The sequence below is a fragment of the Homo sapiens genome, chromosome 12 (assembly GCF_000001405.40).
Source record: "Homo sapiens chromosome 12, GRCh38.p14 Primary Assembly".
NCBI lineage: Eukaryota > Metazoa > Chordata > Mammalia > Primates > Hominidae > Homo > Homo sapiens.
The window spans coordinates 20,876,978-20,904,359 of record NC_000012.12 but is presented as its reverse complement, the minus strand read 5'-3'; the positions used below and the strand labels follow the sequence as shown (position 1 = coordinate 20,904,359).

The following is a 27,382-nucleotide window of genomic DNA, read 5'->3' as shown; positions in this document are numbered from 1 at the left end:
GAACTTGCATGGGGCTTGTAACCCCTTTGTTTTGGCCAATTTCTCCCATTTGGAATAAGAGTATTTACCAAATGCCTGTACCCCCATTGTATCTTGGAAGTAACTAATTTTTTTTTTTTTTAGACAGAGTCTCGCTCTGTTGCCCAGGCTGCAGTGTAGTGGTGTGATCTCGGCCCACTGCAAGCTCCACCTCCTGGGTTCATGCCATTCTCCTGCCTCAGCCTCCCAAGTAGCTGGGACTACAGGCACCCACTACAATGCCTGGCTAATTTTTTGGTATTTTTAGTAAAGATGAGGTTTCACCGTGTTAACCAGGATGGTCTCAATCTCCTGACCTCGTGATCCACCCACCTTGGCCTCCCAAAGTGCTGGGATTACAGGCATGAGCCACCGCGCCTGGCCAGAAGTAACTAACTTTTTAAAATTTAATAGGCTCATAGGTGGAAGGGACTTACCTTGTCTCAGAAGAGACTTTGGACTGTGGGCTTTTGAGTTAATGCTGAAATGAGTTAAGACACGGGGACTGTTGAGAAGGGTAACTGTATTTTGCAATATGAGAAGAACAGGAGATTTGGGAACGACCAGGGATTGAAAGATATGGTTTGGGTTTGTGTCTCTGCCCAAATTTCATGTTGAATTGGAGAAGGAACCTGGTGGGAGGTGACTGGATCTTGGGGGTGGATTTCTCCCTTTCTGTTCTCAAGATAGTGAGTGAGTTCTCATGAGGTCTGGTGGTTTAGAAGTGTGTGGCACTTCCCCCTTTGCTCTCTCCCTCTCTCTCTCCTGTCACTAGGAGAAGACATGCCTTGCTTCCTTTTAGGCTTCTGCCATGATTGTGAGTTTTCTGAGGCCTCCAAGTCATGCTTCTTGTTAAGCCTGTGGAACTGGGAGTTAATTAAACCTCTTTTCTTCATGAATTACCCAGTCTCAGGTAGCTCTTCATAGCAGTGTGAGAATAGACTAATACATTGATTACTAATATTCCACTATATGAATGTAACATAGTTTACTTATCCATTTACCTACCGAAGGACATCTTCAATGCTTCCACTTTTTTATATTCAAGTACAGGTTTTTTTGTGGACATGTCTCCAACTAATTTATGTAAATACCTGGGAACATGATGGCTTAATCGTACAATAACTCTATTTGCTTTGTAAGAAAATTTCACTCTGTCTTCCAACACTCCAGTACCATTTTACATCACCTCCAGCAATGACAGGAAATTCCTGTTGTTTCCCATTCTTGCTAGCATTTGATGTTTGCATTGATTTTTTTTTTTTTTTGAGATGGAATCCTGCTCTGTCGCCCAGGCTGGAGTGTGCAGTTGGTGATCTCAGCTCACTGCCACCTCCACCTCCCAGGTTCAAGCAGTTGTCCCACCTCAGCCTCTGAAGTAACTAAGATTACAGGCATGTACCACAATGCCTGGCTAATTTTTTTTTGTATTTTTACTAGAGATAAGGTTTCACCATGATTGTCAGGCTGGTCTCGAACTCCTGGTCTCAAGTGATCTGCCTGCCTCAGCCTCCCAAAGTGCTAGGATTACAGTTGTGAGCCACTGCATCCGGCCTGTTTTTGGAGATTTTTAAGAGATCCTTATATACATAGGACATTTGGTTGTGTCTATCTCTGAATTATAAATTCTTCTAATTTACCCCTTGCTGTTGAACTTTGCTTACAATACCTTGTGTAATGCAGTTTTTAAAATATTTTATTATCTGTTCTTGTTCTCTTTCTCTTTTTAAATAAGCATAGTCACTTACAGGTAGTTTTGTTTCTTCACCCTCCTCTCACTCTGCACCCACAAGTAGGCTCCAGTGTCTATTGTTCCCTTCTTTGTGTCCATATGTACTTAATGTTTAGCTCCCACTTACAAGGGAGAACACGTGATATTTGGTTTTCTGTTCATGCATTAGTTCAATTAGGATTCAACATCACTAATTATTAGAGAACTACAAACCAAAACTACAATCAGATACCATCCCACACAAGTCAGAATGGCTATTTTTAGTGGGTCAAAAAATAACAGATACTGAAGACATAGTGGAGAAAAGGGAACGCTTATACACTACTAGTGGGAATGTAAATAAGTTCTGTCATTGTAGAAAGCAGTCTGACGATTTCTCAAAGAACATAAAACAGAATTACCATTCAACCCATCAGTCCTATTATTGGGTATATACACAAAGCAATATAAATCCTTTCACCATTATTTTTCTATTATACTTTCAGGCATTTGGGTCATACTTACAAACACATTTATTCTTCCTAGATAATTAAAAGAAATTCTACTATGAGTAGTTCTAATACTTATAGTTTCAGAAATCAAATTTATATATTGATCAATATATAAATTACAAATTAATGCTTCTATAAGAGGTAAGGTACAATTGCAGCAGCTTTTTGTTTCTTCCAGATAATCTAGTTGTCTTAATGTCACTTGCAGGATACTTCTGCCTATGAATAGAAGAGTAATGAAACTTTGTTTTTCCATTTCTTTCCTCAATTACCATATAACCAGAGCTGCAGCTGGTCATTCTGTGTCTTCCTGGAGAAGCCAGTGGGAGAGAGCTTTGTAATCAAAAGAGATTCAAGTACAAATCCTAGCTGTATTTCTTTTAGTTGTGCAATTTTTGACAAGTTACTCATTATTCTTCAATCTTGTTTTCTTCATATTTAAGGAAAAAGGAGGAATATATACATTTCCTACAGTTTCTATGAGTATTAAAATGAGATACCAGAATGCTTGATACAATAGTGAATACAAAGTAATTGTTCACTAAATGGTAGCTATCATTAATATTACGATCACACTAAAAATGCTATATCTTAGACATTAACATAGACAAAGAAAAAATCTATTAATGAAATGTGTTTACGACAACTTACCCAAAAAATACGGAATTATATATCCTACAAGCCCCTTGTGCTCCACAGCTGTTGGTGGACCACTTCATACATGTTTTATCAATCAGAGCCCCAAAATATATTGGAGCTAGAATTCCTCCTGCAACATGAGATAAAAAGATATCAATCCAAGTGAAATGCTTCAAATGTAACTGAGCGATAGTCGATATTGATACATTTTGGATTAATACAAGTTTAAAGTTTTGGAAAATTATTCCATTGGTTTGGCTTACATCCACCCAGGAATCAAAATTATTAGAAATCGCAAAGGCTTAAATCATATGGTAATGTCACAGATGTATTTGATCTACTCTTCTCTCCCTATATACAGAGGGAAGAAAGAGTATTATATGCCTATATACTCTGTTCTTCCTACAATACCTATTAACTTAAGTCTGATTGGTAAAAAGGGGAATGTTGTTAGTAAAACATGAAAGTTATGTTGGTTCATATGGAATTTTTCTTAGGCAAGAATGGCTGGATTACTGACAGTTAAATTATAACTTCTTGAGAAAAGGAAAAGCTCTCATCTAAACTGCTGTAAAGGCAGGAGATTTTAATACTATTTTAAGATAATTAAAAAGTAAATGCTTACACCAGGATTCCCTCCCCAGAGAAGTTCAGGCCCAGCTTCACGGGGTGCTCCGAGCTATTGGCCAGTTTTACTTCCTTCTAGGCTCAGAGCCCAATTCTCTCTTTCTTAGTGCCATCAGAGCCCACAATTCAGCATTTTCTCTCCATTGATTTCATGCACTTTTTAATACCTCCTAAAGCAACCTGGGCTGCAGGTTAGGGTCTCCGTTGCTAAATTTTGTTTCTGTTAGTGGTCTGTTAGTGCACAATGGTGCATATATTTTCAGTGGTCTGTCCCAAAGTCAATTTTTATTTGTAGTGCCTGATTTCGATGACTGTGAGGCATTCCAGGGATACATATGTTGTTTATAGGAGAAGTATAAATTCTGAGATTAACTCCTAGTTTTAAGAATAGGTAATTTGTTCAAAATTTTGAGGGACATCATAGTAGAGAGCTATCATTCAGATGGCAGAACTGAAGCATACAAGATTTTACTTTGTTCTTGTTCTGTTTTGTGATTCATACTTTTCAGATTTTATTTTGTCACAAAAAATGACAGTGATTTATACATGAATGTTTTACCGATTCATTTTACTTTTAATCATTCTCAATTTTCTGAGACTGAGAAATAGTAGATTCACAAGGGAATGTTGTCTGAGGCCAATGCATCTGAAGCAAACTGGTACTGAGATAATGGGTGAGAAATTTGCAGATTTCAAAAAATCACAGCGACCCTTAGAAAAATAAAAAAAAATAGATGCCAACAATTTATTTTCTTCACGTTATGCCACTGGTTTAAACAAACGTTGTGAAGTAAATGTTTTAAGTAACAAACTTTGTCTTATTAGAATTGTAAATCTTCTGATAACCTATTTTCTAAATACCTCTTTTAGTTTAATACACTATATAGGTCTTCTACCATTTACACATATATCATATTTAAGACAATTGTTCATGAATTGGAAGTTTGCTACCAAGTGTGGATGTTTCCCACAGAAGCATTTAGGGTCCATTGTGCCATATATTGGACATAACAAAATTGGATGTTCACAATTAGAATGGCAAAATTCAATTTTTTTCTATTTTATGTTGCTTAAACAATGTCTTCTATTGTCATAGTCTCATTTCAACATATCAGAAGGAGTCCTAACTACCCAGATGCTATTTTCAGCCTCTGTGGCCCAGATTCCAGGAGTGAGGTATCGTCTCTGAATCTGGAGGTAGAGAACTGCTAAGATTACAGAGGCTGGAAGATTAGGGACACAGAAAGGGACGGTTAGGATGGAGGCAATGCAACCCTGCAGCATCTTCATCTTCTCTCTCCTATTCCTTTTATATTTCCTTTTACATTTCAGGATCTGTGACCTTCTCACCGAATACACTTCATGTACAACTTCTTCACGGTAATTTGGCCATAGAGTTATACTTTTTCCTTTCCTTGCAAGGGTCCCAGAAACTGACCCCTCCCACTTCCTTTTCCTTCTGCCATCAGTGGTTACCTATGGACCATAATCAGTCCTCTGCACCAATCCCTAGATGAATGATGCCCTTTTCCTACTTCCCAGGAATAAGCACATAATGTTTACAATTCTTACAAAGGACCACTCACAGAGGTTAGACTAGACATTATTTAACAACAAGTATCTGTGCAGTAAAAAAGGCAAATGGCAATAAGGGACAAAGGTTCATTTCCTAAATCTTTTCTCATCACTTTTGAATATTTAGAAATAGGCCTTTAGCCTCTAGAGTCTAAAATCCTACCCTTGCCACCATAAACCACAATTTTCTGAGCTTTCTTTTATTCAGGACATCCTCATAATCCAACAAGCCTAGTTCTAGAGTATGAATTTTCATTCCCTTTTGCATTAACTCCTGCTAATGGTTAGCTGTCCAGCCATAGAGGACCAGGCAGTGGGAAATGGCACAGTGAATGTCAGCTTCTGTTGTTCTAGACAACCTCAGCCTGACCAGATTCCCAGGGTTCCCAAGCTACTTTAGGGCTGTCCTAAGTAATGTCTCCATTTGGAAGGAAGGTCCTCCACTCTGCGTATACCTGGGAGAAATATTCTTATTTTCCTGAAAGAAGGAAAACCTCAGAGACCACCTATCTTTCTGTTTCTGTTAGAAAGAATATAATATAAATATGATGATTCCTTGCTCTTAACAGATTGACTCTAACTAGAATTAACATCAAATTATCTTTTAGACCACTCAATTTTCCCGTTCCTTTTTATTTTCACTTATCACAAAATAGAAATGATTCTTACCTATTCTTTTTTATACAGTCTTATAGTTGAAAATTAATTGCATTCAGTCTTTAGTATTTAACATTAATATTTATATGTTAAAATGTATAATCTATATATTTGTCATACCTAGTGTTCTTATAACCATTGACTGGAAACCCATTGCAAGTGCTTTCAATTCAGGTTGAACAATCCTGAAATATGATAAAGGCAAAGAAATAATACATGTCATTAAAAAATCAAACTGAGTTAATATCAAAACATTTATCAGCATCATTCCTCTCCCTGGTAGAATGAATACTCTTAAGTGAATTTCCCACGTTATATAAAGTTACATTTTCAACTGTTTTAAAAGGTAAACACCTGAGTGATAATAATAATAATTTCTTTATTTATTAAATGCTTTATGATTTCAAGGCAGTTTAACAAATATGTTCACATTTGATCCTTATGAAAATCCTATAAGAAAGTGGTTGGAATAGACTTTATTATGCTTATGAAGAAAATGATTTTGTGTGGACTATTTAGTCAAGGTACCTCCTATTAAAGGATTATATACTTTTATCCAGGAGTAATTCTTAGCAGACCTCTTTTTACCACCTTATTTCTGTCATCAATGTTAACAGAATAGCTTATTAATATGATTCGTAAATTATATTATACAACCAGAAGGGTCAAAAAACTTTTCTGTATTCTAGTGTCTAATGTATTTGACTGTCACATTAAAGCTACAGAGCATATTTGTATCCTCACTTGGAAATTCACTCACTCTTACATTTCTACAATTCCATTTTTCTGTGTTCAATAAACTGATGACACTACCATCCCTGTGATAACTTAGTACATACCAAGAGAAATGAAATTATCTTTCATTAGTAAAGGAGGAGAGCTGGGATGAGGTGGATGACTGTGGCTCAAATAACCCACTTTTACTGAAATGTTGAATTAACTGATAAAAAGGGTTTTTTTCTCCTCGAAGTGTTGGATGGTTTTTTTCAGAGAGCTAAGTAACCACCATCAATCAAGAAACATTCACTAAGCACCTACTAAGAGATACCATGCTAGTTAATATTCTTGAAAGTAAATAGACAAATTATGCTTTCTCTCATCCAAATGACTTGTAGAAGTATATCACTTAATCTCTCTTAGCCTCAGTTTCCTTGTTTGCTAAGTGGGCATGATAATGCTTATCTCATATGTTATAAGAATCCAACACAATGAGCTAGCACTCTAAACCTCAGTTTCATGTACACATATTTGCCTCTATACCTTGCCAGAGAACTGCCATTTATTGAGATTCTGAAAAGAATTCAATAGCGCTTATAAAATTTTAAAAGACAAAAACTAAATTAAACATAATACATTGAAAGTTAAATCTAAAATAGTTATCTATTAGGAGAGACAATAAACAGAAAGTGTGTTTTGGCCCTGCTTTGACAAAGGACAGCAGCACTTTGTTAGCACAGCTGAGGGCACAAAACTACACTGAGGACAATGAATCTGATACGATTTGGCTCTGTGTCCCTACTTAAATCTCATCTTGAATTTTACTCACATAATACCCACGTGTTGTGGGAGGGATCCGGTGGGAGATAATTGAATCATAGGGGCAGGTCTTTTCTGTGCTGTTCTCATGATAATAAGTCTCACAAGATCTGATGGCTTTGTAAGTCAGAGTTTTCCTGCACAAACTCTCCTTGCTTGCCTCATCCACATATGATGTGACTTGAGCCTCCTTGCCTTCGACCATGATTGTGAGGTTTCCCCAGCCACATGGAACTATAAGTCATATTAAACCTCTTTCTTTTGTAAATCGCCCAGTCTCAGGTATGTCTTTATCAGCAGCGTAAAAACAAACTAATACAGTAAATTGGTACCGGTAGAGTGGGACGTTGCTAAAAAGATACCTGAAAATGTGGAAGTGACCTTGGAACTGGGTAACAGGCAGAGGTTGGAACAGTTTGGAGGGCTCAGAAAAAAACAAGAAAATATGGGAAAGTTTGGAACTTCCTAGAGACTTGTTGAATAGCTTTGGCTAAAAGCCTGATAGTGATATGGACAATAAGGTCCAGGTTGAGGTGGTCTCAGATGGAGATAAGGAACTTGTTGGAAACTGGAGCAAAGATGATGCTTGTCATATTTTAGTGAAAAGACTGGCAGTATTTTGCCCCTGCCCTAGAGATTTGTGGAACTTTGAACTTGAGGGAGATGATTTAGGGTATCTGTCAGAAAAAATTTCTAAGCAGCAAAGCATTCAAGAGGTGACTTTGGTGCTGTTAAAGGCATTCAGTTTTATAAGGGAAGCAGAGCATAAAAGTTTGGAACATTTGCAGTCTGACAATGTGATAGAAAAGAAAACCCCATTTTCTGAGGAGAAATTCAAGCTGGCTGCAGAAATTTGAATACCTGAAATTTGAAAGCTGAATGTTAATTCCCAAGACAATGGGGAAAATGTCTTTAGGACATGTGAGAAGTCTTCATGGTAGCCCCTCCCGTCAAAGGCCTGGAATCCTAGGAGAAATGGTTTCCTGAGCCAGGCCCAGGGTCCCTGTGCTATGTGCAGCCTAGGGACTTGGTGCCCTGCATCCCAGCTGCTCCAGCTGTGGCTGAAAGGGACCAATGTAGAGCTTGGGCTGTGCCTTCACATGGTGCAAGCCCCAAGCCTTGGCAGCTTCCATGTGGTGTTGAGCCTGTGGGTGCACAAAAGTCAATAATTGAGGTTTGGGAACCTCTGCCTAGATTTCAGAAGATGTATGGAAATGCCTGGATGCCCAGGAAGAAGTTTGCTGCAGGGACAAGGTGCTCATAGAGAACCTCTGCTAGGGCAGTATGAACGGAAAATGTCAGGTCAAAGCCATCACACAGAGTCCCTACTGGGGCACTGCCTAGTGGGGCTGTGAGAAGAGGGTCACCATCCTCCAGATCCCAGAAGCTGTCAGTAGATCCACCGACAGCTTGCACCATTCACCTGGAAAAGCTGCAGACTCTCAACGCCAACCCGAGAAGGCAGCCAGGAGGGAGGCTATACCCTGCAAAGCCACAGGGATAGAGCTGCCCAAGACTACGGGAACCTACCTCTTGCATCAGTGTGACCCAGATGTGAGACATGGAGTCAAAGGAGATCATTTTGGAGCTTCAAGTTTTGACTGCCCTGCTGGATTTCAAACTTGCATAAGGCCTGTAGCCCCTTTGTTTTGGCCTATTTCTCCCATTTGGAAAGGCTGTATTTACCCAATGCCTGTACCCCCATTGTATCTAGGAAGTAACTAGCTTGCTTTTGTTTTTACAAGTGCATAGGTGGAAGGGACTTGACTTCTCTCAGATGAGACTTTGGACTGTGGACTTTTGGGTTAATGCTGAAATTAGTTAAGATTCTGGGGGACTGTTGGGAAAGAATGATTGGTATTGAAATGTGAGGACATGAGATTTGGAGGGGACAGGGGTGGAATGAAATGGTTTGGCTCTGTGTCCCCACCAAATCTCATCTTGAATTTTACTCACATAATTCCCACGTGTTGTTGGAGGGACCCAGTGGGAGATCATTGAATCGTGGTCTTTCCCATGCTGTTCCATGATAGTGAATAAGTCTCATGAGGTTTGATTGCTTTATAATGCGTACTTTTCCTGCACAAGCTCCCTTTGCCTGCTGCCACCCATGTAAGATGTGACTTGCTCCTCCTTGCCTTCCACTATGATTGTGAGGCTTACCCAGCCACGTGGAACTGTAATTCCAACTAAATCCTCCCTCTTTTGTAAACTGCTCAGTCTTGGGTATGTCTTTATCAGCAGCATAAAAACAAATGAATACAGAATCCATGCCTGCTATTTAGGAGGAAGTTTATTTCATAAAGAGATGGTCAAGAAGAAATCAGTAGAAAGGGGAGTTTAACTTATCTATTTAGTTATTACTCTCAAATATCAGATTTCTCAAAGGAGATTTTGGGAAGGGAGAGATTGCACTTCAACCCTGGTTGAGTTTTTTGACAATAGCCTGACATGTATTTTTCACTGTACTTGATTTTCAGAAGTTACACTTTGTCGGTATACTACACACACAAGGTAAACTGAAATTTGTTATTGAGCTGTATTTTCACCCAGGGGAAGGGGTGGCATGCAGGAGACTTGGGGGGACTTGCAGATAGGGAGGATATTTTCCTAAGAGCTGGCCTGAAATCTTCAACAATTCAGTGGAGATGATGAATGTGTGTGATATGGTAATATTCATATACAATAACAATCACACACACTCACCCCTACATCCACATGCATGCACACTCACACTACTTCTTGCCTGCTCATACTCACATCCTCACTGATGTGCACACGCTCGTGCATGGTTATCATGTAAGTTATTTACCACTGTAGTGTGACTCCTGCTTTACATATGATATTGAGCAGCTGGCACCTCTCTCAGGATGAATTCATCACAAAAGGCACCCTAAGAAGTTAAATGTGCTATTTCATTTAATTGTTTAATTTAAGAGATTTCATTTACATTGATCCTCTGTTGTTCTTTCTAATGACAATCAACCATCATGACCTGCTGTTTCTTGAGGTAATTTCCAGTTAGACCTAATGAAACCCTAACAATAGATAGCACAGGTAGGGAATGCTTGTTTTCCTGTTTGCAAAAGACTGAAGAACAGCTCTAATTTATTGTGTATATGAGACAAATCTTTTCTAGCTAACCCACTAAAATGCAGTTTTTTAAAAAAGTTCTGAAACATTACCCTCCTTTGGGCCTTTTCAATTGATGTTTTGTTTGTCATAAACTTACATCATGCCTCACATCCTGTCACCAGCAGAATGTCAAGATTTTGAGATCCTGTCTGGGTACCAAGGCTCTCATTCCACATGGTTTACTACATCCCTTAATCCCACTCACTCTCTTACTCTTTTTCCATTACTCAAACCCTTTCATTTTTCCCAGGGAAACTCATATTTGTTACCAGCAAAATATTTAGTTCCTACATTCTTTGTAGCCCTTTCACTTTCTTGTTCTAAACAAAGCCTGGCTTACTCCCAATGACACTCCATGTAACTCTCTCCTGTAGGCTTTTTCCTTCCACAACCTCCACATCAATGGGCCTGAAATGTAGAAGTTCTCATTGATCTTTCATTTTTACCACTTCCAGATCTGAGTCTTTCTTCTGACAGACCTCTAGGTCCCAAGAAGAAGTGCACCACCCTACCATACTATTCTCTAACCTCCTTGCTGAAGTTAGCTATAGAATGGCACATCACAACTCTCATCATTTCTTGACAATTTTCATTCCAAACTCCCTGTCATTTTTGTGAAAATTATTTCTGCCCTTTTTCCTAGTTATTTTAGGAAATATAGATCATATAGATTATGCTCCCAATGTTCTCTGGCCTTTCAGTTTCTTGACCTCTTTTCTGGAAAGTCTTCCACCCACAGTCAGTTCATCAGTACCCACTTTTAAAATTCTCCATTTTGGCCATCCCAGTCCTCATAACTACCTCCTAAGTTTTAAATTTACTCCCTTTAATATATCTGTTACAAGAAGCTCCAGCCCTAGCTCTTTAGGCTATGATTCCCCTAACCTCTTCACAGGTCATATCTAGTTTTACCTCTTCACTTCCTTTCTCATCATGATCTTTTGTTATAATTGCTCATCTGCATATATTCTGTAAATTTTTGTCCATCTCATCCTTTACTGTACTAGACAAGCAAAAATGCTTTCATCTAATCCTCTGCCTTCTCTGAACCTATATACAAAGAGCTGCATCCCTGGAGGAAAGAATTCAAACATCTCACTGTGCTCACTTTAAATTCATAAGCACAGACATTCAGGGGGCCTCCAGGGCAATCGTCCAATATTCTACTAGTCCATTTTCCCTGTCAGTATGTTTCTTTAATCTTCAGGATTACTAGTTCACATTTTCTGATCCAAAGACTCTTTCTTTTCTTCCTCCTCTTTCTCATCTGATTACATTCCTTTTTTATAACAAAGAAAGTAGAAGCAGCAGAAAAAAGTTCAATATTCTTCATCACTACAGGTACACATTTACCTGCCTTTTACCCACATAGAAAATTTCCCTTCTTGTACAGAGAAAAACTCTGTGTCCTGGTTAAACTCTTTTCATCTTCCTCTGTAATTGCTTTCCCTCTTTTCTGCATTGTCAGTTTCCTTCATCTCTACTGATGATTCTCATCAGTATGTAAGCATGCTATTACGTCTAGCATTGAACATAAACAGAAGTTTTATTCCACAACTTTGCTATCAACCACAACTTTTGTCTGTTTCTTTTGTAGCACTACTCCTGAAAATAACTTGCTGTGCTGACTGTTGCACTTCCCTTTCTGGCATTTTCTCTCTATCCTCTTCAATATAGCCTGTTAGATCCTACATAACACACATTATAGCCACATTTTCAAATGGAAAAAACCTAATTCAAACAAAATAAATTCAAAATAAGGAGAGATAGCCTATCTAAGTTAGAAAGAACCAGAGAAAGAATTCTGGAAGTATAAAGAAGATAGATTGTTAAAGGTCCAAAGGACCACAATGACTCTTGAGCTATTAATCCAAACCAAAATGAAATCTTTGATATGCTGATAAAGAATCCAAAATATTGATTCTAAAGAAGTCTTCGAGAAATAAGACCTTCAAGTAATATGGGATTATGTAAAGCTTGAGATCCAAAAGAAAGTTAAAAATTACCAAAAATAAATGAAAAAAAATAACATAGGGTATAAAAGAAGAGAAAGATTTTATTACGAGAAGCAGACACAACTTCTAAAAATTAAAAATGTATTGAAGGGACTGCAAAATACTTCTGAAAGCTTTAACAATAAGCCAGACCAAGCAGAATAAACAATTTCAGAGCTAGAAGACAGGTCTTTCAAATAAACTTGGTAGGAAAAATACATAGAAAAGTAAATTGAAAAACCTAACAGAACCTTCAGGACATATGGGATTATGGAATGCATACAAACTTATGAATCATTGGTATTCCAGAGGGAGAAGAAGAAAAAGTTAAAAGTGTGGGAAACTTGTTTGAAAGAATAACTCCCAAAAACTTCCCTGACTTACTACAGATCCAGACATCCAAATATAAAAAGCTCAGGTGATTCCTGTGAGATGCATTGCAAGAATAACCAGCACAAGACATATAGTCATCAGACTACTCAAAGTCAACAAAAATTTAAAAATCTTAAACGTGGCAAGAGAGAGGTATCTAATTACCTGTAAAAAGAATCCTATCAGACTAACAACAGACTTCTCAGCAGGAATCTTACAAGCCAAAAGAAATTAGGGTCTTATTATCAGTCTCTTAAAGAAAAAAAAAAATGCCAGCCAAGAATTTTGTATACTGCTCAACTAAGACTTATAATTCAAGAAGAAAAGTAGTACTTCCCAAATAAGCAAACACTAAGGGAATTTGTCGCAAACAGACTGACTCTACAAGAAAGGCTTGAAGGAGTTCTAACATATAGAAATGAAAGAGCAATACTTATCATTATGGAAACACACAAAGTATAAAACTTACAGATCTTATTTTAAAATTACCTAATTGAGACTGCAAAGCAATTAAGAAATAATTAACAATATTATAGAAACAACCCCTCAAAAATCAATACTGACCTTATATATAAATATACTAAACACTCTTCTTAAAAAATATAGTCTGGCAGAATGAATTTTTAAAAATCCAACTATATGCTGCATACAAAAAACCCACCTAACTCAAGTAACTGGTAAAGACCTTTTCAGACTCAAACCAAAGGGGTGCAAAAAGACATTCTATGAAAATACAAACCAAATCAGAGCAGTAGTAGTTATACTGGCATTAGATAAAACAAATTTCAAATCAAAAACCATAAATAATGACAAAGAAGGTTATCATATAAAGGATCAATTAAACAAGAAGATATAACAATTCCAAACATATAAACCCAACATTGGAGCACCCCAATTCATAAAACAAACACTACTGGGCCTAAGGAAAACAAAATAGATAGCAATACAACAGTAGTGGGGTCTTTCAATAATCCACTGACAGCACTAGGCAGATCATGGCAGCCAAAAATCGACAAAGAAACTTTTACAATGGACATTAGACCCAATGGATCTGACGAACATTTTACAGAACATTTTACAGAACATTTTACCCTACAACCTCAGAATATACATTCTTCTCATGTACACATGCAGCATTTTCAAAAACTGACCACATGCTATGCCAAAAGGCAATACTCAATGATTTTTTTTAAAACTCAAAATAATATCAAGTACCTTTTCAGAGTACAGTGGAATAAAAATAGAAATTAGTACCTAGAAGAATTCTCAATACTACACAAATACATGAAAATTAAATAGCCTGTTCCTGAACAATTATTTGGTCAATAATGAAATCAAGGCAGATTTTTTTTTTAATTGAAATGAGGCTGGGTGTGGTGGCTCACACCTGTAATCCTAGCACTTTGGGAGGCTGAGGTGGGTGGATCACTTGAGATCAGGAGTTTGAGACCAGCCTGGCCAACATGGTGAAACCCCGTCTCTATTACAAATAAAAAAAATTAGCTGGGTGTGGTGGCACAGGTCTTTAATCCCAGCTACTAGGGAGGCTGAGGCCAGAGAACTGCTTGAACCCAAGAGGTAGAGGTTGCAGTGAGCCAAGATTACACCATTTCACTCCAGCCTGGGTGACAGAGTGAGATTCTGTCCCCAAAAACAAAAAAAAAAAAATTAAGAAAATGAAATGAATGAAAATAAAGACACAACATACCAAAACCTCTGAGATACAACAAATCAGTGCCAAGAGGGAAGTTTGTAGCATTAAATGCCCACAACAAAAAGACAGAAAGATATAAAATTAACAATCTAATGTCACGTCTCACAGAACTAGTAAAACAAGAATAAACTGCACCCAAAGCTAGCAGAATATAGTAAATATCAAAGAAAAAATCTAAATGAGATTTGGGCAAAAAAATTACAAAGGATCAGTGAAATAAAAAGTTGTAATTTGAAAATATAAGTAAGATAGATAGCTTACTAGTAGCTTAACCAAAAAGAAAGAAGATTCAAATAAGGACAATCAGAAATATTACTGGTGTCATTAAAACTATTACCACAGAAACATAAAAGATCATCAGAGACTACTATGACCATCTCTACATACATAAACTGGAAAACCTAGAGGAAATGGATAAATTCCTGGAAACATACAACCTCACACGTTTGAACCAGGAAGAAACAGAAATCCTTAACAGACCAATAATGAGCAATTAAATTGAATTAGTAATAATAATTAAAAAATCTCCTGATGACAACAACAAAAAGATGAACTTACTGCCAGATTCTACCAAACCAAAAAGGAAGAAATGATACCAACTCTACTAAAACTATTCCAAAAAATCAAGGGGGAAGGAATCCTCTTCAACTAATTCTATGAAGTCAGCATCATGCTGATACCAAAGCCAGGCAAGTACATAACAAATAAAAGAGAAAACTACACATTAATATCCCTGATGAACATAGATCCAAATATCCTCAAAAAAAAAAAAAAACTCTAGAAAATAAAATTCAGCAGCACATAAAAAGGTTCATCGCAATGAAAAGTGGACTTTTTCCTGAAATGCAAGGATGGTTCAACATATGCGAATCAAAAATGTGATTCACAAAATTAACAGAAATCTTTTTTCAAAAAGCGTATGATAAAATAAATTGATGCAGAAAAAACATTTGATAAAATCCAGCATCGCTTTATGATAAAAACACTTACCAAACTAGGCATAGAAGAAACATACTTTAAAATAATAAAAACCATGTATATGACAAACCACAGTCAATAACATACTGAATGGGGGAAAATCGTAAGCATTACTTCTAAGAATGGACCCAAGATGAGGATGCCCACTTTCACTACTCGTATTCAACGTAGTATTGGAAGTCCTATCAGGAACAATCATGTAAGATAAAGGAATAAAAGGTCTCCAAATGGGAAAAGAAGAATTTGAATTATTCCTCTTCACTTATGATATAATCTTACACCTAGAAAACCCTAAAAACTCCTCTGAAAGCCTCTTAGACTTGATAAACTACTTCAGTAAAGTTTCAGGATACAAAACCAATGTACAAAAATAAGTACCATTTCCATACAACAATAATGATCAAGCTCAAAATCAAATCAACAACTTAATCCCATTTACAATGAATATAAAAAATAGTAATACATTTAAACTAAGAGGTAAAAAAGTCTCTACGAGGAGAACTACAAAACACTGATGAAAAAAGTCATATATGTCACAAAAAAAATAGAAAAACATCCTACGCTCATGAATTGGAATAATGAATATTGTGTAAAATGACCATCCTGCCCAAAACAATCTACAGATTCAACACAATTTTTATGAAATTACCAATGTAAATCCTAAAATTCATACGGAACCAAAAAAGTCTGACTAGCAAATCCATCCTAAGCAAAAAAATGAAGCTGAAGGTATCACATTACCTGACTTCAAATTATACTACATGGCTATAAGCCAAAATAAAAGGGTACTAGTATAAAAATAGACACATAGATCAATGGAACAGAATGGAGAAGCCAGAAATAAAGCCACATACCTACAACATACTGATTTTTGACAAAGTAACAAATACATATACAGTGAGGAAAGGACACCCTATTCAATAAATGGTGCTGGGAAAATTGGAGAGCCATATACACAGACATAAAATTGAACCCGTATCTCTCACCATATATAAAAATTAACTGAAAAAGGATGAAAGACGTAATTGTAAGGCCTGAAACTATAAAAATCCTAGGGGTAAACCTAGGAAAAACTTTTCTGGACAATGATCTAGGCAAAGAAATTATGACTACACCCTCAAAAGGAAATGCAACAAAATAATACACCAATGGAACTTAATTAAACTACAAAACTTTTGTTCAGTAAAAAAAAAAATAATAATAATAATCAACAGAGTATACAGACAAACCACAGAATGGGAGAAAATATTTGCAAACAATGCATCTGACAAAGGGCTAATATCCAGAATCTACAAGAACTCAAACAACTCAATAAAAAAAGGAAAAAAACCTCATTAAAAAGTGGGTAAACGACATGAACAGACATTTTTCAAAAGAAGACATACAAATGGCCAATAAATATATAAAAATGCCCAACATCACTAATCATCAGAGAAATGAAAATTAAAACCGTAATGAGATATCATCTTATACTCATCAAGATAGCTATTATTACAAGGTCAAAAGTCAAGAGATGTTGGTGAAGATGAAAAGAAAAATGAATGTTTATACACTGTTGGTGGGAATGTAAATTAGTAAAACCTCTATGGAAAACAGTATAGAGATTTCCTGATGACCTAAAAATTGAACTACCATTTAATCCAGCAATCCCACCACAGGGTGTCTACCTAAAGAAAAAGAAATCATTTTATTAAAAAGACAACTGACTTGTATGCTTATCTACAGCACTAGTGACAAAAGCAAAGTCATGGAATCACTCTAAATTTCCATTCACTGATAATTAGATTAAAAATTTTGTATATATGTATACACTATGGAATACTAGTGAGCAATTAAAAAGTGAAATCATGTATTTTATAGCAATGTGGATAGAAATGGAGGCCATTATCCTGAGTGAAATGATTCAGAAACAGAAAGTAAAAAATGCATGTACTTACTTTGATGTGGGAGCTAAACAATGGGCACACAAGGACTTACAGAGTGGAATAATTGACATTGGAGACCCTAAAGTGTGGGAGGGTGGAAGGGAGTGGGAGGGAAGAAATACTACCTATTGAATATAAAGTACACGATTCGGGTGATGGGAACATTAAACCCCAGACTTTACCACTGCACAATATAATCCATGTTTCACAACTACAATTGTATCTCTAAATCCATAAAAATGAAAAAATTTAAAACAACCAAAACAGCCTTTTTTTCACCTCCCATCTTCATGCACTAGTTTTGTTTAGGTTAATAGTGATGAGCATATAATGAAATCCAATGGTCACTTTCTAGTCCATAACTCCTATGAACTCTCAGCAGGCCTTGACATAGTTTCTTTATTCACTGCTTCTTCATATATTCTTCACTGTGCTTCAAGGACATGATCCTTTCCCAATTTTCCTCATAACTCATGGGACCTCCTCAGTTTCCTTTAGTGTCCTCTCCTTCTATTATTAATCGCTAAAGTTAGAGTGCCTGTTGTTCCTAGGATGTAGTTTCTATCTGTACCCAGTCCCTAGAAGATCTCAATGTGGCATTGGATTTAAATAGCATCTGTATATTGCCAACTCTAGATTTGTGTCTATGGCTTTAATGATTTTCCTAAATGGTGGCTTCTACATATGGCATTGTTGGTAGATACCTAACAGGCAGCTCAGTTTTACAGGGATATAAGAAATTTTGCTTTTCTACTTCCTCCAAACTACCCTTCCTTAGTGTTTCCCCTTTTGTTCAATAGTATCACCATCTTTCCAGAGCTCAGGCCAGAACCTTGGGATCATCCTTAAATTATCTTTGTCACATGCCACATTCAATCAACCAGCAAATCATATTGGCTTTGCCTTAGAAAACAAAACAAAACAAAGAATGAAGCACAAATATCTTCCCACTTCCTTTATCATAACCATGCTCAATAATACCTCATTGTGAAGAATGATCATAGCCTTTTGTTTTCCCTGATTTCATTCTTGTCTTCCAAAAACACAAGTCATGCACAGTCAGAGTGATCTTCTCAGGTAAGCCTTAAGCATTAGGTAATACTAATGCTTAAACCCTCTGGGGCTTCTGAACACACTTAGAATAAGCTCCAAAGCCTTTCCTGTGAACAATATAATCTGGATCACGCTAGCTCTGTCATTGTACTTCGTACCTCTCTTTTCCTCACACACTTTTTTCTAACCTTGTATGTATCAAGTATGCTCCACCCAAGGGCCTTTGTCTTTGCTCTACCTTGCCTAGCTTGTTCCTTTCCTGTCCTCATTTAGCATGGCTTGTAGCTTCTCTCTTCATCTTTTCATTTAGGTCTCTTGTCATATAACTTTCACAATATCTGAACTAGCATCTCTTACCTATCCCCACTTTTTCTATTTTCTGACTCTGATTTATTTTTCTTTCTAGTGCTTCACATTTACCCTGTTTTACATATTTACTTGCTTATTTGTTTATTAGTTCTTCTATATATATCCACTCCCTGTACCCTATCCCCACTGGATGCTAATGAAGTTTTATCATTTTCGTTCACATTTGCATCCTCAGTGCATGGATTTGTGGCTGACACACATAATGAATATGTACTGGATGAGTAAATGTCTACACTCCTGCTGAGTCTAGTTTTAGCAATAGCCTTATGATGCAAGCATTAGAAAATCATTAATAAAATGAAGTTTGTATTTTTATTCTCCAGTCAGCTTCAGAAAACTTTTCTTCAAAGGAAATCAAAGGCAGGTGAGAAATTAATAAATGCTCTGATAAGTGGTAATGTTGATTTAATCACTTTTTATTCAGATAAAATATAACTATCATCAAGGATGGAACAATGTTTTTAAAACTCTCCTTTTCTCATGAAAAGGTTTCAATTAAGAAGCTAAAACATGTTGAGAGGCAAACTAGTATGAAATTATGAAGTGAATTTTTATAAGTTAATGAATCTGTAATTTGGAAATACAGAAGGCTTCTCCTTCTGAATTGACATTTTATATTAAGATGAAGCTATACTTGTGGAATATTTATGGTATGAATTTAAGAAAATTTGCAGGCAGGGTGAAAATTTAACAACTGTAAACTGACTTAGTTTACAGGTTTATATTCATATTAACAAAAGTTAAAACACATTGTTGGTTGCTTTTTTTTTTTCTACCATGTCATGCTGTTGGCTGGCCATGAACTTCCGATCAACTAGTAGGTTTTAAAAGTACAATTAGGTGTTACCCCAGGTCACTCTACTTATCATGTATATTTTTAAGATCTACATGCATGTCTTTACATGTTTCCCGTTTTAGGTGATTGTGTGCTTATTTTGGCCAGTAGGGCACACATTATCTGCTTCCCCTCAACTCTCCAAACATCATCTGCCATACCCCTCTCACTCAGTGTGTTCCAATAAACTGGCTTCTTTTCATTCCTCAAAAATTCTAGCTCTTTCCTGTCTTAAGGAAACAGCACCTAGACCCTCTCCCTGAAAGCCCTTCATTTGGCTTTTTCTTTACATCTTTAGATATAATGTCACTTCTTTTGAGATGTACTCTGGGAGTCTTTCCCCTCACATCCCCTTACTTTAATCCTAAATTTAGTTTCTCTTTTTATTCCTTTAATTGGCAGTCTTTTTCCTTATTAAGACAAACAGCAATTTGTAATTATGTGTTTATTTTTATACTTATTTGTCTCACATCAGTCTTGTCATTTTCTAAGCTGTGAGAAAACAAGTACCTTATTGGTTTTACTTACTAGGAAATATTCTTCATCGAACATCATATCCTGTCTAAATAACTGTCTAATAAGTGAAAAAAGGAATGAATTATTTACACATATTTTTCTTATGCCCTACAAGGGTATCATGAAATACCAGGTCAAAAGCCATGCTGTGGGTGAATTGAAAGCATTAGAATTTCATTACAAATTGAAGTTTGTATTTATACCTGGTTGCTAAATGTTTTCTTTCAATGAAATCAACAGATGATTTACTCTTAACTGGCTCATTAGGATGCAACGCAACTCAAAATTAAAAGTTCTTTTACAATCACACAAAGATTCTCCTACAATCAAGGCAACTGTCAATCAGTGTGTGCCTTAAGATTTTTATTAAAGAGAAGAAAGTATAGAGCCTAGATTTGACAATGGAAGTATTAGAGACAAAAATTATTAATGATGTTATTGAAATATCAAAATAATTCTAAGAAAATGCATTCTCAAAGAATTAAAAATTGACAAAATATGAATTTGAGCTCAAAATACAGAAAAATATGCCTATCATTAGGTGTGTTTTAGTCTAATATACATGACAATGTTTTACAGGATCATACTTACTTCACAGTCAACAAGATAAATGTGGTACCTCCTGTTGCAGAGAACAAAGAGTTTATGACTTGAATTGCAACATAGATGAAAAATTTCCTTGTACAAGTATTATCTCTTGGGCATTCACCCAAGTGTGCTGAGTAATTTCTGTTCTGGAGACCAGTTACTTCCACACAACTACAGTTATAAAACACCTAAAAATAGTTTTTGAAATATTAACAAATACATTTGCCAAATACAACAGGGCTATGAATACATTCCATTATATTTAAAGAAGTCTCAAACTAAAATATTTACAGTTTAAAAAATGTTATAAAAATATAGTTGCTTAATAGTGAAGGCAAAATAGCTCCCTGAATTTAGGAATTTAAGAAATTAGTGTATGAAATTCTGTATATAATTTTTTCATTAATATACATTATTTAAAATATTTCTCTTCCACCTACATTTTCTTTCCAAAATACACATTCTTACTCTCTTTGGCAGGTTCTAAGTATTAGGGACTTACTCTGGGAAAGAACTACCAAAAGAATCCAGAAAATATAGTTTGAAACGGGACAAAACTTAGCCACTCATGAAAATGGGACAGAGTGCAGAGGAAATAGAGCCAGGCAGTGGTGCCAGAATTCTATTTAAGCAGGCAAAAGCAACATTCAAGACCATAATGACAGGTGACAAGATATAGTATATTATTACCAGAAAGGTTTAACACAAAAGAATGTGCTGGCTAATGGTTAGAATATAGAAGAGGAATATTAGGAACAAGTAATTTTAGAGATCAGGCAGGCAGTGTATGTGGTTAGGTGGCTTTAATAAATTCTGCTCTGATTCTAGGCTAAAGATTTAAGTTCATCTTGAACCTACTACTGCTGAAGACTATTTACTGAAGGAGAACTTGTAAAAGAATTGGCCAGGCGTGGTCACTCACACCTGTAATCCCAGCACTTTGGGAGGATGAGGCAGGCGTATCATGAGGTCACGAGTTTGCGACCAGCCTGGTCAACATGGTGAAACCCCGTCTCTACTAAAGATAAAAAAAAATTAGCCGGGTGTGGTGGTGAGAACCTGTAATCCCAGCTACTTGAGAGGCTGAGGCAGGAGAATTGCTTGAACCCAGGAGGTGGAGGCTGCAGTGAGCCGAGACCATGCCATTGCACTCCAGCCTGGGTGACAGGGTGAGACTCCATCTCAAAACAAAAAAAAGAATTTAAATCCATACTCGTATGGTTCAAGAAAGATTCCTTTTTTCCTTTTATTTTTTTTCAATAGGAATAACATGGAGGAATCTTTTATGGAGCAAGCACATTGGCCAATGAAACCCAACTTTGATACAGAGAGCATTATTTTAACAATTTTACTGAGGATTTAGTAAAGGAACTTTGCAGTAGCCCCCACATAGCATAGCCATTGCCAATATTAAGATGATGTCTCCATGAAGACAGAGCTCTCTTTAGGATACTAATATCACCTCTCTTTCAGGTCTTCACTACTGGACAACACAGGACCAGGGATTAAATGGGGTACTCTTACTGAAAGATACTATAGCTGATGAATATGAGATGTGGGCTTTTAAGTATAGTCTTTGGGCCACAAATGTGCAAGTTTACTAAAGTTGTAGCCTATCTTCAAGGAAACTAGGAGGCTTTATTCTTCAAATTTCTCCATGCCGTTTAATAATACGTTGGTAGGATATTGGGCAAGGGAAAGATAGAAAATGTTTAGAATTGAAGCATGGAAGAGTGTGGTAGAGAGTCATAATCGCAGCTGACTATATTGCTAATGTTGGTAATAGGGAAAGGGCCTGAAAAATAGTTATGCAACTTGTGAGATGTTGAATTGATTGTAGGTATGGGGAACAGCATACCTAATTTCCAATCATTGGGAGTTACCCAGGATATTGGGAAAAACAGGATATGTGTCACATGGAAAAAAAAAAGCCTTTGAGTTAAGAAAGAAATGGAATTTCCAATGGATATGTTGGCAATCAGTGAGTAGGATACTAAATTATACTGAGTAAAAGAAGTGCCAGCTTTGGGAACATCAAAATAGGAAATCAAGAATAGGGAATTCAAGTGAACATGAAGACTTGACTCATTTCTTGGAAAGTCCAAGGCCACAGTGAGTCCCTAGCTACACTTATCAGTATGTATATATTAAAATGCAAATAGATTATTGTTCTCGTAAAGCAGGTAGTGCTGACAACAGGCTAACTCTGAACTTTCCCCTAACTTCCAAAGGGTAAAGTAATTCCAAATAATAAAAATCATGTGCTTTAGTCAAATGAGATGCTTCTTAGAGACCCTAAATGCATTCAAATTCTAACAGGTCATATTCTTAAAATCTCAAGAAAAAAAGTGGGTAATCTCTAATTAGAATTCAAGTAACAGAGAAGTCTGATTGTGTCCTAAGCAGAGTTTTATATGAAGCTTTGTTTACACTTCACAGCTATCACGAGGACAGATAATACTGGAATCTTTTTGTTTTATCTTTTTATTGGAGACCTTAGTTATAGGAAGATTTGATAAGTATTTATTAAATCAAATCTGTGATTTTGATTAAGGAGAGGAGAAAAAGTGAAAACTAATACTCACTGTATGCTTTTTAATACCACTTGAGGATTTGCATCCTGCTAGACAAGGTGACAGGTAAGTTATTCCATTGTTCCCACAGACTGGTTCCCACTGACTTTCATCACAATTGCACTCTGAGTTGCAATAAGAAAGTGGTACATCTACATGAGATGCCACTGAATTATTTCTGAAAATATATGATAGAAATATATCAAAAAAAGAGAAAGAGGAAGTAGAGAAAGAGCAGAAGAGGGAGACAAGGGGATAAGGAGAGGGGAAATAGAGGAGGAGGAAGAGAAGAGGAAAAGAGAAGAGAAATAAGAGAAAGGGTTTTCCTTTAATTAGATAGAGAAATTTGATTTGCTGATGTCAAAATGGCAATTTTTGTAATGCTTATTGACTTTTAACTCTCCTTCTTTACCAAGACATGACTTATGACCTAGAAAAAGTAAAAATTAAAAAAGAAATAAAAGAGGTTAGATAAGACTTAGACAAGAGGTCTTTATCATTCTATCAATGAAACTTTACATTATATAAGTAACTTCATTTTTCTGAGATTCAGTTTCTCTTCAGGGAGGTAATGGCATTAGATTGAGGTTCCTCTAAGCTCACTTTAAAATCCTCTGAATCTATGCATGTTAGTTAACATTGTTGAATTTTACAATCTATATTTTAACTACATAAAAAAAAAGATTTCAATGTAGTTAAAACCAAACCTCTGAGGAATAAAAAATCAAGAATAATAGAATTAGTTGAAAAAGGATAAAAAATCTCTGCATATTTTCTGAATAAAACTATAATACTGTTTATACTGATTTACTTTATAATATAATTATAAATCATAAGATATAATTTTATATTATGACTAAAATTATAAAATGTTATTTGTATAATGTTTAAGCTTAAAGATTTTATTTGTTTTGTAAAGATATGATAATTATTAAGGATTTATAAAATATCTTCAAATGAGTATAGAATTTAAATTAAGAAAAATAAGGAGATTGATAATTTAGAAAATACATTATGAATAATTTTATTTAATGACATCTGATACCTCTAATAGCTCAAATTTGTGTCTTAATCTTAACATTGCTAGCCATATAATGTGTGTGTTTCTCTAAATCTCACTTTCCCATCTATAAAATTGGGGTAAAAGTGTCTACCACTCATTTTAATTACCCAGAAATCATAGGTATTATTATTTCAACCGATGTTGCTTTTCCTTAAGGAAGGAATAAAACAAATTTTTATTGTCTTAGGAAATGGACATTTTAAGAATTTGAAAATTGAAATTTCTCTCAATTAAAATAAAGTTTAATTACAATTGTTTTCTACCTTATTTTACTTGCACATAATCTTTTAATTTGATGGTTAACATATTACACAATTTATATAGCAATATATACAAACCCATCATAGGTCAAGGTTAGGCCGGCAACTGATTTGCTTTCGCAGATTAGAGGGAAATATAGAAGTTGAAACAAGAAGGATATCATCGAAGTAAGAAATGAAAATTTGGCAATTCCAACTAAAGACAATTTGAATTTTTTAATGATAAATCCTCCTAAAAACATTCCAGTTGCAACCGTAGGAATGGTTATGATTCCTAGAAATAAAAGAAGAGAAAAAAGCTATAATTATACAAATATGGTTTTTCTGATATGTCTTTATATATAAAACACAGTGTATATCAACCAAATTCACCCATTCTTATTTCTTTAAGAGAAGGGTGGAGAACCTGGGAGGCGGAGCTTGCAGTGAGCCGAGATCGCGCCACTGCACCCCAGCCTGGGCAACAGAGCGAGACTCCATCTCAAAAAAAAAAAAAAAAAAAAAGAGAGAAGGGTGGCACACTAGGGTGGAGGTAAGGGACAAGTATACCCACATGAGAGACAAAAATAATTTATTTTGGCCAATTATGAGGGCTTGGCTTCCTCACAAGAAAAAGGCAGTGGCTAAGAATATTTACGTGTCTAAAAAGGTTATTTCTATGAGGAGCTTTCTTTTTTTCTGGCAATCAACAACAAAAACAAAATCTTTCTTTCTCTGAGATTTCTATCCTACCATCTAAAAAATCCTTTATACATTTCTCAAAATGTTTCAATCCTCAATAACTCACTCCAATTTTGCCCAGGCTTTAGAATTAAATTCTTGAATTAATATCTCTTTATTATTCATAAAAGACATATCTACCATGATATGATAAAAATGTCTACATACAGGATTAAAAATGACTGATCCCTGTTACATTTTTTCCATTTCACAGTCCCGTAAGTGTTATTAAAGGTGAAGATTCCTCTAACAAAAAATTCAAGCCAGGTTATTGGGAGTCAAAACTGAATCTTTTAAGTTTAAATCTGTCAGTTCAACAGGGAGATCATCCAGAAGCCTGTTCCAATGCTTCAGTACATTCATTTTCTAATTATTACTTTCCTATGTACATATGACCTAGATACATACCATTTGATACACTGTTTAACTCATCAAATACTTATCAAATTTCTACAAGGTTTCTACAATACTGGAGTTGTGGGAAAAGGGATATAAGATAACCTTTCCTTAATGAGAAGGTCTCAATATGACTTTGAAAATAGGCATTGTAGCAAAATAAACCTCTCTAAAATATGACATTTGTTTTGAATCATGCATATTTTGTAATGTATTTAAATTGATTCTCCTTCTGAAAAGATTAATATTATGTCTTTTGTAAGTAGCTGAGGCCTTATTTCAGTCCATGAATTATAGAATTATAATGGTTATATTATAAAAGGGTTTGTCTCAGGATCTCAGTACTATATTATAAGATCCAATTATGCAGATACTACGTCTAAATGTTTTATTCACAAGCAATTTTTTTTCTTTAGAATTTCACCTATAGAATTAGGTGAATTTCACCTATGGAATTAAATTCACCTAACATGAGATGCAACTTCAAATGCAGAACAACGATGATATTACAAGATGGAGAAATTTTGTAAAGTTTGAGACATAATAAGATTACATTTAGTAAAATATAAAATCACCTTCATAATAAAATGTGACTTGGAACACAAGTACTCAGCAGTGTTTCATTTATCAAGCAAACAGGTAAAAAATATGTCTTACCCAACAAAAAGTTAGCATGAGATGCAGACTGACCGTACTGTTGCTCCATATATTTAAAGACGTAAGTAAAAGAACCAATAAAGCTGCTTACTTGTAACAATGTCAAAAGCAGAAATATAACATACAGGGGATTGGTAAGGATGCTTTTCAAAGACTGGAAAAAACCTATAGAGTTATAAAAATAACATATTTCAATAATAAAATATATATTAATATCTGAATTTTGTAAATATAAGTTATATAAGACTTAAAGTTACAAATGATTTGTGAGGCTTTCTAAGAGAGTCGCGACCTTTGCTCAAAATAAATGGAACATGTGAATTAACCAAATTGTTAAATTTTTGAGGTAAATAGGAACTCAGATGTCATCTAAACTGAACTTCTATACAATCATAACTCACTACAATGTTGATCCATTAAAAAATGGATCAATAAACAATTCAAGTGACATTATGCTACCTGAGAGCAATTTGCTCAACTTTTGAACAGTTCTCATTGTTTACATGTTGTCTTTGTAATGAACTGGAATTTTCTTTGCTTTCTAATCAATTAGTCTTAGTTCTACTCAAGAATATATGGAATAAATCTAATTTTTTTTCTGACTATAGGTACTTAGTATTTTAACCATTCCTAATGAGCACCTAATTAAAATTCGCTTTACTATTCACATCACTACCCTTAAAAAAACAGTTCATAATATAGAAAATGTTTACAGTTGCCCCTTTTTTTGCACCTTATTATCTTCTTTATTCTTTTTGGGCTCACAGTCAACCCTGGTCCTTATAGGTTTAGAAAATCCATTAATTGGCTGGGCATGGTGGCTCACGCCTGTAATCCCAGCACTTTGGGAGGCCAAGGCAGGTGGATTGTCTCAGCTCAGGAGTTCCAGACCAGCCTGGCCAACACGGTGAAACCCCGTCTCTACAAAAATACAAAAAATTAGCCGGGTATGGCAGTGT

At 35.5% G+C, this 27,382-nt stretch overlaps 3 protein-coding genes across 4 annotated transcripts in view; all 3 read right to left on the bottom strand.

Annotated features, from left to right (window-relative positions):
- The window catches only part of LOC124902894 (putative solute carrier organic anion transporter family member 1B7), a 150,851-nt gene extending 147,896 nt beyond the window's left edge, over positions 1-2,955 (bottom strand). Inside the window, exon 1 of the mRNA XM_047429949.1 lies at positions 2,893-2,955. The gene's annotated coding sequence lies outside the window, so the exon portion shown is untranslated. The remainder of the gene's footprint in view (positions 1-2,892) is intronic.
- SLCO1B3 (solute carrier organic anion transporter family member 1B3) overlaps positions 1-27,382 on the bottom strand; it is a 106,207-nt gene that overhangs the window by 12,552 nt on the left and 66,273 nt on the right. For both annotated transcript variants that reach the window (NM_019844.4, NM_001349920.2), the window contains 6 exons: positions 26,424-26,588; positions 24,729-24,924; positions 23,340-23,505; positions 20,758-20,942; positions 5,860-5,924; positions 2,893-3,010 (listed from right to left, as the gene is read on the bottom strand). In NM_019844.4, coding sequence (NP_062818.1) covers positions 2,893-3,010; positions 5,860-5,924; positions 20,758-20,942; positions 23,340-23,505; positions 24,729-24,924; positions 26,424-26,588 — 895 coding nt within the window. The remainder of the gene's footprint in view (positions 1-2,892; positions 3,011-5,859; positions 5,925-20,757; positions 20,943-23,339; positions 23,506-24,728; positions 24,925-26,423; positions 26,589-27,382) is intronic.
- The window catches only part of SLCO1B3-SLCO1B7 (SLCO1B3-SLCO1B7 readthrough), a 275,549-nt gene that overhangs the window by 186,863 nt on the left and 61,304 nt on the right, over positions 1-27,382 (bottom strand). Inside the window, exons 8-13 of the mRNA NM_001371097.1 lie at positions 26,424-26,588; positions 24,729-24,924; positions 23,340-23,505; positions 20,758-20,942; positions 5,860-5,924; positions 2,893-3,010 (exon numbers count right to left, since the gene is read on the bottom strand). Of these exons, the coding sequence (NP_001358026.1) occupies positions 2,893-3,010; positions 5,860-5,924; positions 20,758-20,942; positions 23,340-23,505; positions 24,729-24,924; positions 26,424-26,588 (895 nt within the window). The remainder of the gene's footprint in view (positions 1-2,892; positions 3,011-5,859; positions 5,925-20,757; positions 20,943-23,339; positions 23,506-24,728; positions 24,925-26,423; positions 26,589-27,382) is intronic.